Below are 16234 nucleotides of genomic sequence, written 5' to 3'. Positions count from 1 at the left end.
GAATTTTAAATTCCACAAGAATATTATTTTTGGTTGGTTCTTGTTATTTCTAATTTCATTTGATTTTATCAGAGATTGTGGCCTCTATTATTTCACTTTGACAATTTATTTTTCTTCTGGGATGTGATAAATATGCTCAACTTCTATGTCTTATGAATTTTTGAAAATTCTATGTGTTTTTTATGCTGGTAACAAAGTGTTTCTCTAAATATAACTATTGAAGGAACCTTATGAGTTAGTCAAATCCCTAATGGGCTGGCTTGCTTGATCTGTCAATGTTAGAATATATTAACATTTCCAACTAGGAGTGTAGGTTTGTCCATGTATTTGAACATTTTAACACTTTCTGCTTTATTTATTTCAAAGAGACTCTGAAGTGCATAAATATTTATGACTTAAAATTTTGTTGCCTGAATCATAATAAAAATCTTTTTTTTAAATGCTGAATACTTTTCATTTGAATTCTTTATTGTCAGGAATTTATATTATTGATATTTCCTTTATTCTATAAGCTGTTTCCTGGAATAGCTGTTCTATATCCTTTATTTCCAACCTTTCTCATTTTATTTCGGCTAGATCTCCTACACGTGGTGTAGATTTGGCCTTTGGTTTGTAGCCCCAATCTTTTAGCCTCTTTCCATGAATAAGACATTTTTATCCATTCACAAATATAAAATTTGTTAATATTTGACCAATTCTTTCTATCTTATTTTCTTAAAATGTTGGGTAGAATTCACACACAAATAATCTGGGTATGAAGTTTCCTTTGTGGGAAAAATTTTTAAAACAAATTCAATAAATAGATACATGCACAGTTAAATTTTCTATTTGTTTCAGCTTTTGGTAAATAGTCTTTTCAAGAAACTCATTTTATCTAAATTGTAAATCTGTTTGGCCTCAAGTAATTTATGGCATTTCATATATATCCTGTTAATATCTACAGAGTCTGTAGTGAGTCCTCTTTTTTCCCTTAAATTGTTAGTTTGGGTGCTTTGTGATTTTTCTCCCTGTTTTTCTTTCTTCATCAGTCTTGCTAGTGGTTTAGGAATTTTCAGTCTTTTTCAAAGAGCCATATTTTGGCTTTATTAATTTTCACTACTGATGGTTTTCTATTTTATTGATTTCTTCTTTTTAGTATTTATGCCTTTCTAATTGCTTGATTCTAAATTGCTCATCTTTTTCTGCTTCCTAAGATCGAAATTTGGACAATTGATTTTTAACTCTTTCCTCTTTTCTAATTTTAAAGCATTTTAAAGCTACAAATTCCCCCCTAAATTGCTGCTTTAATTGCAATCCCACACATTTTGATACATTACGTTTTGATATTTAAACATTTTTACATTTCGCTTGTATTTCATATTTGACTCCTGGGTTAGAAGCATATAGTTTAACACTAAAATATTTGGGGATATTTTAAAATATTCTATTGTTAATGATTTCTAATTTGATTTTAGTGTGGTTAGACGTCAGACTATATGATTTTTTTGTCCTCATATTTGTTTCTGTATTTTCAAATTTATGGAGATGCTTTTATGGCCTAGTATAAGTAATATCTTTGTAGGTTAATGTTCCATGTGCACTTTAAGTAAACAAGTATTTTTCAATTCAGTTTAGTGTTTTATGAAACATTAATTAGTTTTAGGAAGTTGATATTGTTGCTCAGACCTCCTATATATTCCTATTGGTATAATAATAATAACTAGAAAAGAGATACTAAATATCTAATTCTGACGTAGATTTGTCTCTTTTTTTCTTTGATTTTGTCAGATATGCATAAGATGCTTTTATGGTCTACTGTAGGTTAAGTGCTTTCATATCTGTCTTTTATAGATCCGTTATTAGGTATAAGCACATTTTATGATTTTACGCCTCCTGGTGAAATGACCTTTTTATCATTACTCACTATCTATATTTATCTCTGTTAATATTTCTTGCCTTCATAACTACTTTGTCTGATATTAATATATGTATAGTAGCCTCCTTGTGCTTATTGTTTACATCAGATACGTTTTCCATCCTTTCACTTTCAAGCTACCTAACTTGTATTTAAAGTGCATCTCTTGTAGAGAGTATATGGCTTGGTCATACTTTCCTTTGGAGTATTTAGTCCTTTCCCATTTATAATGTTTGAATTTAATCTTACCCTCTGGCTATCTATTGTTTATTTGCCCCATTGCTTTTATTTGTATAGTGTGGTCTGTCACATTTGTTGCTACTACTTCAAACGTACCATTTTACTATCTGTTTTATATTTGTCTCATTTATTTTTGTTTTTCTGTTCTTCCATTATTATTTTATTAATTAAATATTTAAAAGTATTTTTCATTTCCTCTTGGCTTTTTAGCTATCCTTATTTTATTTTTAGTGATTGCTCAAGGCTTAATACACGCTGTCCTAACTTATCATTAGTTATTTGGCATTAATATTGTGCCACTTCAAAAAATACATGACACAACAATTTAATCCCATTCTCATAAGAATTCTCAGTATATGTCACATGTCATTGTTTTTGCATCAGATCACCTGTTGTCTTTTAGAGACATGAAAAATAAATACATTGTCTTTTATACTCTCTCATAAAGTAAGCATGTCCAATACTTTCCATTCCTTCCTTAGATTCCTTTTTCCTTCTGACATAATTTCACTTTAGCTTGAGGAACTTCCATTAGCATATCTTGTAGGTTTGCTGGTGATGAATTCCCTCTTTTTTTACTTGCAGAATGTATTTCATCTCGACTTTGAAAAGGAATATTTGAGTTGAATGTTTAATTCAGGGTTCATCATGTTCCTATCAGTGGTTTAAAGATGTTCAAGTGTCTTTTGCTTTCCATCATTTCTGATAAGAAGGCAGCCATTTATTCTGTCATTGATCCCTTGTATGTAATGTCTTTTTTTGTGGGTGCATTTAATGTTTTTCTTTTTTCTGGTTTCCAGAAGTGTGACTATAATATGCCACATGTGGTTTCCTTCATATTTATCCTGCTTGATGTTCATAGAGATTCTTGCCTTTGGAGAGTGATGGATTTTAACAAATTTAGGAAAATTTGTCACTAAGTGTGTTGGTAATTTCTTGTTTGCTTTCAAGTATATTTCTATCCATCTCTTAGAGACTTCATTTCACAGACTCTTTGTCAAATGTCTCTAGCTAGTTTGGCCGATGAGAACTGGTGGGAGACTGGAAGGCAATGGAAAGAAAGAGATTGGGTATTTCTTTTACTCTCTACTTAGCAGCCATTTTCTGAATGGCCTGCAACTCCTGCCTTTTCTAAAATTCCAGATCCTTGTCAGACAACACCTTACCTTCGTCTAGCTCTAGCTTTGCATGGTTCTAGCATCTGCAAGAAAGCCCAGGAGCCTGGGTTTCTGCTAACAACACCTCTATCCTGTTTCCTTACAAGTCTAGAGGTGGTAGGAGGTTTCTTCTGTTGCTAATATCATGGCTAGTATACTATCCCCTATTTGGTTTATCAGCTTTTCTCTCATTCTGTAAATACTTCTTTATATTAAATTCCCTTTCGGAAATACCTAAGACAATTTGTTTTCTTTATTGGAGCCTAATCCATTAACTAGATAAAGCTTTCTCTGGGCACTATAATATCATTAATAGTTAGGTAGAAACCTAGGGAAGAACTGTAACAGTGACTTCCCTAAATTCCTTCCTTTTTCTTTTGAAAATAGCAAAAAAAAAGTTTTTACTTGAAGTATTTATCATTAGAAGTATTGAGCAAATATGTATATATTCCTTGGGTTATGCCATACTCTAATTTTTTTTATAAATGGAACAAGGGATTATGGAATTATATTGGCCTTCAATTAAACACATATCAACTGATTTAGAGACAATTATGTGTTAATCTACTAACAAATCATAAGGTTTATTTTGTGAATCAGAGTTTAAATAATGGATTCTTGTACTACAATGAATTATATAGGCCTTTGTTTCCTAAAATGCATTTCAATGTTTCTTTTTTTTTGAATAATTATTCCACCATGAAGAGAGTTGACAGAGACATTCTGAAGTCAGGTCAAATAGACCTAAAAAACAATAAGGGTATTAAAATGTGACTCTTCCTATTTTATAATAATATGCTGGACACAGTGAAGAGCATCCCAGAAGAGTTGTTAACATTTTTTTGTGAATGTATCTGATGACCACTGCTTACTCCTTCCTCAAATGTCAAAATCTATTAAGAGCTGATAAAGGAATAGAGTGTTACTAATAGAGCTGACTATCTGTTTTTGATTTGCTGTAACATATGACATGCCCATTTAAGCAGGGATGATCATTCTTAAGAGTATGTTGTGACACACAAAACTGACTAAAGAAGAAATGAAAAATATAAATAGGCTTACCTATAAAAAGTAAAGAGATTAACTTAGTAATTAAAAAAATCTACTTACAAAGAAAAATTCATGTGCAGATGGCTTCACTGATAAATTTTCCCAAACTTTCATTTCATTTTTAATTTTTTTTTGAGACAGAGTCTTGCTCTGTCACCCAAGCAAGAGTGCAGTGGTGCAATCACAGCTAACTGCAGCCTCTACTTCCCGGGCTACAGCCATCCTCCTGCCTCAGCCTACCAAGTAGCTGGGACCAATAGGCCTGTGCTGCCATGTATGGCCAATTTTTGTATTTTTGGTAGAGAGGGGGTTTTGCCCCTTTGCCCAGGGGTTTTGCCATGTTGTCCAGGCTGATCTCAAACTCTTGAGCTCAAGCAATCCACCTGCCTCTGCCTCTCAAAGTGCTGGGATTACAGGTGTGAGCTAGCATGCCTGGCCCAAAACTTTGAAAGAAGAATTAATATCCATTTTTTACAAACTATTCCATAAAATGGAAGGGAAGGGAACAGTTCTTAACTCGTTCTGAAGCCAGTATCACCCTGACACCAATACCAAAGACATCACAAAAAAAAGTAGAAATCAGTATCTCTTATGAATGTGGATACAAAAATCCTTAACAAAATATTAGTCAATTGAATCCAGCCACAAGTAAAAAGGTTTGTATATCAATACCAAGTGGGGTTTACCCAAGAAATGTAAGGTTGCTTTAATATCTGAATATCAGTCAACCTATTAATAGGTCACATTAATAGAATAGAAGAAAAAACACATTATCATCTCAATAGCTGCAGAAAATGGATTTGAGAAAATCCAAACTATTTCACAATGAAAAAACTCAACAAACTATTAATAAAATGGAATTTCCTTATCTTGATAAAAGGTCACCATGAGAAACTCACAGCTAACATCATACTTAATGGTAAAAGGCTGAATGCTTTTCTCTTCAGATTGAATAAGAAAGGATGTGTGCTGTGGCTACTTCTATTTAACTTTGTACTGGAGGCTTTAACCAGGGAAATTGGGCAGGAAAATAATATAAAAGGCATCAGATTGTAAAAGAAGAAGTAAAACTATCTTAATTTGTAGGTGATATGGTCTTGCATATAGAAAAGTATGTGACAACCTGAGATTCAGACTTGGGGTGGCTCAAACTCTCACCAATATGCTCAACTTCAGGCTCTTCAGTATTCTAGTCTGTGGCATACTGGCATTTATGTTCAGATGGACCTCTCTTCCATCTGAGTTCTTATGGGCTTAATGCTTCTGTCTCCCAAAATCTATCTGTTGAATTCCTAACCTCCAATGTGATGGTATTAGGGAAATGGGGCCTTTCGGAGGTGACTGGGTCATGAAGGTGGAGACCTCATGAATGGCATTAGTGCCCTTATGAGAATTGGCTGCAGAACTATTTCTTTCTGCCATGTGAGGATACAAGGAGAAGACAGTAGTCTGCAACCTGAAAGGGAGCCCTCACCCAATCCCACCCATGCTGGCACCCTGATGTCAGACTTTGGCTTCTGGAACCATGGCTTCTAAATTTCTATTGCTCCTAAGCTACACAGTCTATGGTCCTTTGTTAGAGAAGTCCAAATGGACTAAGACACCAGGGAACAACAAATACTGTGAGACAAAGTAATGGTTGGTCAAACGCTCTTAATTTTAACCATTTATCCTGCCTGTTCTGTCAAAAGCATGTTCAGGTCCATTAAGTATACCAAGATGTTGGTGTAACTTAATCAATTTTAATTAACAGCCCAGTTGCAAAACTGCTTCTTTTTAACCCTGAAGCATAACTTATTATGTACTTACTGAAAAACAACCTCGAGTCTTCCCTGTCATGAGGCAAGAAAAATTACTTTTAGTGTTCATTTTTGACTTTGGTGCTTTATTCAAGTGCATTGTTATGGAATATGGAAGAGGATGATTCTGGACAAGGTCCTCCTTCCTTTCTGCTTTTTTTCCCAGTCAATGAATTGCTTAAAGGTGGCCCTGACAGGGGTGAGAAACACATTTATTGATGAGATAAGTCCAGTGGAGACACACATTCCCCTCAAAAAGCCTACGAAATGTATTAATTACAAGCTATCTCTCTGGGTAAATAATGATGTCTTTGGCATTCTATTGAATGTCATGACTTTCACGGACTCTTTCCTGGTTGACTTCATTTCCCTTACTTCCTCCCTAAAGCAAGCCTCTCATCAGCTCTCCACTCACATCTGTTGCGTGGGATTCAGTCAGAATGATAAGAACCAAAGGAAGCAAACTTTTCTTTCAATTATAAGTTAGCATGAAATAAAAATTCCTCTTTTTTAAATGATAGAACTTCAAAATGAAAGGGAATTCAGTGAAAAAGAAAAGAAGAAAGAAAGAATCAAAAGTTGAAAGGAGGAAATGGAATTTAAATATTCATCACCATTACAGTAGCCTTTCTCTGATGAGAGGACTTAGCTTTGAGATGTTATGGACACTTGAAGGTTCTGAGATGTGGGAAAGAAAAAAGAGATGATCTTTGGCCAAGTAAGAAGAGTTCTACCTTTACAGCAATGATAAGGGCTGAAGATCTGAATTTTCAGACACACTGTATTCCCCAGAAAGTACAGAGTCTTCTCTTCCTATACCCTCTACTTGGGGGAGCTTATCCCATCTCTTGGATTTAAATACTACATAGGTGTGGGTTTTTCAGACTGTATCTCCACCCAGCTCTGTAGAATCCATAGGAGCTCTAGGGGGTTCAACAGAAGTTCTATAAATTCTACAGGTCACAAACTCCCTTTTGTGTGAAACTCCAGCACCTGATGTGTAACACGCACATGTATCTAATGTCCAGAACTGAGCCCTTGAGTTTGCTGTCCCTCCCCAACCTGTGCCTGCCCCAGGATTCTCTCTGTGTAAATGGCAGCATTTTTTCCAGTTGTTCAGGACAAAATAAAACAAAATTAAAAACCCTGCAAAACTTACTTTCTCAACTCCTTATATCTAATCCCGCAGCGAGACTTGTCTACATCACTCTGTACAACCTATCCCAGGATTTGAACACGTTTTACCACCTCTAGTATTGAGTGTTGAAATAAGTAATGAAACTGATACTAGAGATCTGAGTAGAAATAATAATTCTAAGACATTTAACATTATAATTTGGTTTATTATTTTTTCTTAAGTAAAACATCATTATTCTTAGTTTTTCTTGGGCTAATGAAACACATGTTATTTACCTAAATTGTGCTAGAAAAAAATTCATCCTTGTTTTAACAATTGCCCTCATGACTGGTTAAACATAATCCATTTAGTTTGGCAGATAATATGAATGAAACTACTTAAAAGCAAAAAAAGCAATTCATGCTTGATCATTTTTGGTCTTTGAAGGTAGCTCATGTTTCTAATAAAGTTATACTACAGGGCAGACAGAGTGAGAGAGCAGCTCCAAAAAGAGGAGTCAACCAATAATTTAATTCTATCTATTCAAATTCTGAGACTAGAGCCAGATTCAATGATTATAGGCTGAATAAGGATCATGTTGGGCTCCCTTTCAGGAAAACACCTCCCTTTAGTGGTCCTTTCCAGGTAACAAATTTCTCCATTATTAGTTTTTCATTCATTCATTTACTCACTCACTCATTTAATTCTTTCCCTTTTTCAAAAACACATGAGGCAATTTACCAGAAAGAAAGCTAAACAAATGAAACAAAGCAAAAGTATAATTAATGAGTTAAGAAAACAAAGTCAACAGAAGTGAGAGCCACCATTATTCTAACAAAAATGCCTCATAAAATACGGCAAAATGGTTTCTTTAAAGAGATGAGATAATAGGCAAGAAAGAGAGATTCCTGGTACATAGAAGGTATTCAAATCAGACTGCTGAGAGGTGCTGATGCTAAACGGCCCAGGAGAAACCAGGGACTAATACCTCTTGGTGTAGGATTGATGTCTACCCAAGGAAGGTGATGCTCCCAGGCATTTGACTAACACGAAATTAGAACTGAACTCTTGAATAAAGTCAGGGGCCCTGAAGGGCTGTCCCGCCAAGAAACAAGAAACAGAAAACCTCTCCACCAGTCTGGTAATTTTTAGGGAAGATAACCATCTGACTGGGGCCATAAAGAAAAGGTCAGTTTTGAAAATTGGGATCACCAATCTTGCTCCATGCCAATAGGTGTTGACCCAAATTCACTTGACCTCCTTAGTGCAGGAACCTTAGTCTAAGGATTTAATAAAATATTTTGACTTGAATTGGTGAATCCCAGAGATACCTGGCAAAGATACACTGAAATCTATCCCATAGTGATGCCATTACAACTCAGAACATACAAGACTACCATGGACCCAAATCCTTGCTGTTGATGAACGTACAGACAAAATTACAGATAATACAAGGACAGACTTAACAGATAGACTAAATGGCAGAATCACATATTTATCAACCCTAAGGAACATAATAAAATAAGTGATATTTCCACCAGGCATAGTGGCTCACACCTGTAATCCCAACACTTTGGGAGGCCGAGGCAGGCGGATTGCTTGAGGCTAGAAGTTTGAGACCGGCCTGGCCAACATGGTGAAACTCCATCTCTACTAAAAATACAAAAATTAGCTGGTGCAGTGGCAGGTGCTTGTAATCTCAGCTACTCAGGAGGCTGAGGCAGGAGAACTGCTTGAACCTGGGAGGCAGAGGTTGCAGTGAGCCAAGATGGTGCCACTGCACTGCAGCCTGGGTGACAGAGCAGAAGTCTGTCTCAAAATAATAACAAAAAAAAAATAAAAGAAGTGATATTTCCATATAATATGTTTAAAATCTCCAAGTAGGCCAGGTGCGGTGGCTCATGCCTATAATCCCAGCACTTTGGGAGGCCAAGGCAGGCAGATCTTTGAGGTCAGGAGTTCAAGACCAGCCTGACAAATATGGTGAAACCCTGTCTCTACTAAAAATACAAAAATCAGCTGGGCGTGATGTTGGGCGCCTGCAATCCGAGCTACTCAGGAGGCTGAGACAGGAGAACTGCTTGAACCCAGGAGGCGGAGGTTGCAGTGAGCTGAGATTGTGCCACTGCACTGCACTCTAGCCTGGGTGACAGAGCAAGACTCCATCAAAAAAAAAAAAAAAAATCTGCAAGGAAAACAAAACAAAATTCCATAGGCAAAATATAAAATTATATATACAAAAAGGTTAGGTTTTAAGAACAACATAGACTTCTTAGATATGAAAACAATAATCATAAAGATTATAATCTCAATGTTGGGTGAAGAATTTATCAGAATGCAGACCAAAGAAATAAAAAGTGGAAACTGGCAGGAAACATGAAAACACCTGGAGCCCAGGATGAGAACACAATATGCAGCTACAAGAACTCCAGAGGAAAGAATAGACAATCGAGACAATCGACAGCAACATGTAAGAGATAGAGGCAGAGAATTTTCCAGAACTGAGCAGAGATATGTGTCCTCAGATTGAAAAATCACACCTAGTCACTTAGGTTGATGAAAACAAATACACTTATGGAAACAATATAGTGAAAATACCGCCCCCCGACCCCCAAGCAAAAAAGATACCTAAAAGCACTCAGAGAGGAAAGACAGACTCCCTAGAAAGGAATGTAATGAGACTGACAGAAATACTTCATTAACAAAAATAGAAGATGTAATGCCACAGAGTAATGTCATCATAATTCTGAGCGAAAATAAAAGTTAACCTAGACTTTTATGCCCAGTTAAACTATTATTCAAGAACTGTGAAATAAAGTAGATAAAGAAATTTTAATATAAACAAAAAAGGCAGCTATTGTTACTCATAGACTCCCCCTCCAAAAACCCTAACAAATCATATACATCACCAAAAATATAAATAAATTTGAAGAAACGAATAATTTTTAAAAAGCATTGATGAGCAAATTAATTGGTAAAGAATGTGGCAGATTTAAATAAACATTGACTATAATTACTGTCAGAGCTAAAATCCTAGGAAATAATGACATTGAAGAGAGATTATGAATAACTTCAGAATGTATTGAATTAAGCATAAATGTTAAAATTCAATTCACAATTGCCAAGATATGGAACCAATGCAAGCATTCATCAACCAATGAATGGATAAATGAAATGTAGCATACATACACGATGGAAAATTACTCTGCCAAAAAAATAAAAGAAATAATATCTTTTGCAGCAACTTGGTTGGAGCTGGAAGCCATTATTCTAAGTGAAATAACTCAGGAATGGAAAACCAAATACTGTATGTTCTCACTTATAAATGGTAGCTAAGCTGTGGGTATGTAAAGGCACACAGAGTGATACAATGGACTATGGAGACTCCAAAGGGGGAAGGGTAGGAGAGGAGTGCAGGATAAACAACTACATATTGGGTACAATGTGTACTACTTGGGTGCTGAATGCACTGAAATCTCAGGCTTCACCACTCTACATTCATCCATGTAACAAAAACCACTTCTATCCCAAAAGATATTGACCAAAAATATATAACATTAAAAACATGTAAATATATAATACATATTATAAATAATTATATATTTTATTCTTTAATATAAATAATATATATTGAAATTTTAATGATAATCACTAAAAGAAAGATATACATGATGTATATTCTATGAACTTTAATAGTAATCTTTAATGAAAAAAATATATATACTTCCTAATGAGTAAAAGAAATAAAAGAATAAACAGGCTGCTCTGCCTAAGGAGTAGCCATTATTTTATTTCTTTACTTTCTAATAAAGTTGCTTTTAATTTACCATAAAAAAAAATGAAAGAACTTGATCAATCCATTAGAAATCAGAAAAAAGAAAAAAAAGGACCAAAGAAAAGCAAGGTAAATAAAACACAAAATAAAATGGTAGAAGTGGGTCCACGCACATCAATTATAAAATCAAAATACAGATGACAAAATAAATATAGAAGAAATTAATATAAAGAAAGATATCAAATTGAATAAATAAAACCAAAATAAAAACAGGTATTGTTTAAAGGAAGCATACCCAAATAATAACAATCTAGAGGGTGGAAAATTGTATCTACAGTAAAGAGCACACAGGGTAAACATTTGCAAAAGTCTGGATTGTGGACACGTGTGTGTTTATTATATCATACTCTGTACTTTTCTGTATCTTTGAAATATTTCCTAGCAAGATTTTTTTTAAAGAAAAAGAAAAAAATGAAGATATTAACATGAAAGAAAAATGAAGAAGTCACAGAACAAGAAGCCTGAGGCTGTTACAGCAAGTGCAGGTCTGGGGACTCCATTAGATGAGGCTGTGGATTTTCCTTAGAGCAAATGCAACCTGTGTGCACCCACAAAAATAATGGGTGATGAAGCTTGAGAGAATGAACATCCATGGGTCCTCATAAAGATGCAACACCACAGAAGAGAGACAAGAAAATCAAAGCCAAGCCAGCAAAGACATGACGAGGATGTGTTTCTTAAAAGTGAAATCCCATGAAACGTTTTTCCTGGTTCCTGGAAGTCTTTTTGTCTTCTTTGGAGGCATCTTTTAAAATGCCCCCAGTCACTCTCCCCATCCCCAGCACCTCCCAGTAGGTGACAGATCCTGTATTACTTATAATGTAGAGAATATAGAAATGCTCATCCAAAAGGAAGATGTAGAAAAATTAATGAATCTATCTATGTAAGAGTAACAATAAGGACCCATTCCCTGGGTAATAGTTATTTCACGTATGTAGCTTTCAAAATGCTTTTCTGCTCTACCAGTCTATAAGCCACTGTGTACTGGGATGGCTGTTTCTCTCCAGTACCATGGTACAGGCCTGACACTAAGGAGCTTAATTTGTTAACATTTGTTTGAATGGAAAACTGATAATGTTAACATTGGGAAATTTCACTGAAGATTCTGTAAGTCCTGAAGAAGGGCTCCTTTGGTCTATGTATTACACCTCCAATCATGGGGAGAGGAGAAGTCTACTGGAAACCCCTTCCACAAGGGAGCACATTGCTAAGGAACTGTACATACATGAACAAAACTTTCACCACTCTACAATTCATCCATGTAATCAAAAACCACTTGTATCCCAAAAGTGGTTTTTGGCTATTTGGCTCAGTGCCCAGAAGAAAATCCTTTGAAGTACAGAGGCGGAGAAACAGACAACTTCTTTGTAGTTTGCTCAGCACGTTCATGAGACAAAACGCTACTCAATCTAAGCAGTTTGAGTTGCCCACAAAGGCTGGCTGCACCATGAGAGTTAAACGCAAGCAAACAATTGAATTCTACTAGATTGAAAATGGTTGCTTTGACCTTAACAAAATAGGTTAAGAAAGAAAAAAATATATGATCAGAAGGAAAAAAAAATCTATCTTAAAATTTCTTTCCATATCCCCAGTTATTAAAAGAAGGACAAGAATTTTCTTTAGATCATAAAATGAGAATTAGCTTTCTTGAAGAAAGTCACCTGATTGGTCTTGAACTAATTAAGAAGGTGCAAGAGAAAGATGACCTAGGGATCATAAAGCGATTCGTTTTTCACCATTAAGTGGAACCAGAAGGAATTCACCTCGAAGCATGAAATGTGGTTTGCTCAGATTCTCCCATTTGTACCCACGTCTCTCCGGGGAGAGGTCGGCTGAACCTTGACCTATAACAATCAAAGACGGCTGCAGAGTGGATTTCAGAGAAGAGAGGGCCGTGTAACACACAGAACTTGGACAAAATGGATGGGTGGGCAAAGTGTGTCTTATAGTGAAAGGTCATGCCCTTTCAATATAAGATAATGGTATTTGTTTATTAGAAACCACATCTGGGGATTGCACTCTTTGTGGGTAAAGTTTATTGGGCTACATTTCCTAGACTGCGCATCAGAGTAATACCAACATCAAAACAAGAAGGTTAAATTGTTTTTTTCAATCCCTAGAAGTTTGAATCAACATGTCCACTTTGAAAATCCAACATTATGCTAAGGAAGACACATGGGGGCCACTTAACCTCCGAGGTCCTGGGTTACTCTCCCTTTACCATGACATTAAATCACCCCTCTGTCTAAACATTAGCATCCTTTCACACCTTTAAATATAACTGGGCTCCAGTGGAAAGGCACCCCAGGTGAGAATCCCAGTGGAAACCAGAAGTACTTACTTTGGCAGCACGAGAATCTGCACAATGAAGATGCAGAAGAATATGAGACAGGCACAAGTCACATAATACTTGAACGCTGGCAGTGCCGTGGCCCGGTACTGAGGGGGAGAAAGGAACCTGTGAGTGACAGTTCTCCAAGAGAAGAGCTGCACACAGTGTCCAGCAGCCTAGTTGTACCCAGAGCATGCACCACACTCAGAAATTGTGCAGATTGCAGCCAACGTGAGCTAAGGAGAAAGCCTGTTCATCTCAGCAATGAGTTTTTCCTTCCCCCACATGAACTGTGAAGGAGTGACTTCCAAGGACCACAGTTTATGAGTGGAACTGTTCTCAAACCCATCTATAAGTAACTGAATCTCTCTAGTAAGGAGAGAGGCACCTGACCAGAAGGTTGAGTGAGTGAACTGTGAATCGCGCCTGTGACCTGGGTCCCATGAGGGTCTGTTGTCTATGACTACTGAGGGAAAGGGCATGACTTCTCATATACTATCTTACTTTTGAATACTACTGAGGAAATGCAAGACATATTCATTTATTTTAGTATTTTATTTTATTATTTGTCTTAATGCTATTGAGAGGTGATGGGTAAAGTTATAAGACTGAAAAGGTTTGCCAACTTGGTTCTTAGCTGGCTTGTTCTGAGCCTAGCCAATGGGATCCCCTTCCTTTCTCTCGTCCAGTGCATTCATCAGGGGTCCACGTGGTTCCCCATGCCATGAATAAGCTGACCAGCATTAGCTGCCTACCTAGGTCTGACCCTGCTTTACTTAGGCAGGATAAAAATTCCAGATAGGGCTATACTTATGATGCTGATGATGACCCCTGCCACATTCAGCACAGTGCCCTGCATTCCCTGCTTTCCCTGTACTAATCATTCAATCCACACAACAGCCCCTATTTTTGGATGAAGAAACTGTGGACTGGAACAATTGACTACAATCAGTGAGATACAGTGCATGGGAAACCAGGACCTTCACCAGGCTCTGAACTCAGACTCTCAACCATGAGGCTCAACTGCCTTACGAAAGGTTGTATGGTAAAATTAAAGGAAATAAAATTTTGTGCCAATGCCATTGAAACCTCCTGAAAATACTGTCAGGTTGCATTGGCTACATTTGCATAAACTTTCCCAAGTTATAGGGACACATATGTATTTCTGGGATTTTAGCCTCTCTAGTTTAGTGCTGCATGAGGGATCTCTGAGGGGTCTCCAGAGATTTATCTTCTGATAGCTCTTGTGACCTCTTGCCCTACCTCATGCTCTGACGGGCAGGCTGAGGACAGATGGACAAAAACTGAGCTTAAGTCTTGCTGCTCTCTAAAATTTGCTTTAAAGTCGGCATCTGCAAATATGTGTACATGGGGAATGTAAAGCTGCATTTTTAAATGATCACTTTCTGTTTACTAGAATTTTGGGGGGTATATTTTGTGACTTAGTAGCCAGCATAATTTCCATGCTCATGAAGAAGCTACATTAGCATCATTGCTGAAATGTGATTACATTCTATGCACTCAATTAAATCCTTATCTTTTAACTTCTTCAGGCCTTTGTGCAGAGATATGAGTAGGAATTTCTTTGTGGTATTAACAAAGAAATGGACTTCTATCAGGAAAGAAATAATGTAGCAGCTAAGCAATAAGTAGCCATTAATATTTGCTAAAGTTATTAAGTATAAGGTGGTCAATAGTTGTGCATTATAACAAGCATCAATTTGGTAAACTGTCTGCAGTCAATGGTCAGAGTCCTCTACTTAGCAGTAGACAACAGATCCTCTTGACCACCAACATAAAAAAAAAACCTTTTGGTGTGTCCATAGATTTTGGAAGGAATTATCATATTTAATATTTCTATTTGATATTCATAAAATAATGCACTAAATTTTATCAACATAATTTTAATACCAGAGCTGCGAATGCTACCATTAATGTAACTTTTGTTCAAAGTAGGCCTGTAATTATATAGTTGGATGATGCAAATTACTTCTAAGTCTGGTTCCTTCTCCAGATCAACAAAAAACAAAAGGCGAATAAAATAAAGTTGAGCTAGAAGAATGGTTGTCCTTTCTGCAACAATTAACTGAATTCATTTTGGCAAACCCATATATAGCTTGACATGTAAAAACTAAATGTCTGCTTACTTATTTGTGCCTGAAATAGCTCTTACTTTAAAAGCCATAATATGAAAGTATTAAGGATGCAATAAAGCTTAAAAGTTCTAATTATCTGGAAAAAGCATTGAATGTAAAACTCATATTTTAGTCAACATATTAAAATAATTTGTGTAAAGACATTGCAGATTTATCAAGAAGAATTCTGTTTTTTTTAAGACTTTTCTGAAAGAATTTCACATTGAGAAGAGTAGATATCTCCCACATCTTTCATTTAATTGGGATATTTCGCACACATTGCAGATACCATTTACTATCGAGAGGGTTGAGAATGGTAACTGATCAAAGATGGAATCTTGGTAACAAGAAATACCGTAAAGCAATATATGCATGAAAGAACCACCAGAAAAGCCAGAAAGAGTTCGAATATAGTCAGAGGCAGTTTAAATGTCACATATAAAAAACATGAGCACAATTTCATGAAGAAATTCAAATTTCAGAAAACTCGATTGATGATTTTGAAGAAGAAAAAAACTTACCTCTTTTTCTAGTACTTTGTTATAGAAAAGCAGTGAGATTCTCTGAATGTCTTCAGACTTGAGCCATTGCCTGGAAATAGAAAGGGCCAACACATCATAAAACTGAATCTCCAATCAAACATCTGGAACTATTTTTTAAAATGACTTGCGATCT

The 16234-nt window shown here is 35.9% G+C and overlaps 1 protein-coding gene across 5 annotated transcripts in view; it reads right to left on the bottom strand.

Annotated features, from left to right (window-relative positions):
• The window catches only part of ADCY2 (adenylate cyclase 2), a 433944-nt gene that overhangs the window by 89387 nt on the left and 328323 nt on the right, over positions 1–16234 (bottom strand). For all 5 annotated transcript variants that reach the window (NM_020546.3, XM_011513942.3, XM_047416645.1 and 2 more), the window contains exons 13-14: positions 16081–16150; positions 13434–13531 (exon numbers count right to left, since the gene is read on the bottom strand). In NM_020546.3, coding sequence (NP_065433.2) covers positions 13434–13531; positions 16081–16150 — 168 coding nt within the window. The remainder of the gene's footprint in view (positions 1–13433; positions 13532–16080; positions 16151–16234) is intronic.

Source organism: Homo sapiens, chromosome 5, assembly GCF_000001405.40.
Source record: "Homo sapiens chromosome 5, GRCh38.p14 Primary Assembly".
NCBI classification, from domain to species: Eukaryota; Metazoa; Chordata; class Mammalia; order Primates; family Hominidae; genus Homo; species Homo sapiens.
This window is presented reverse-complemented; position numbering and strand designations above follow the sequence as displayed.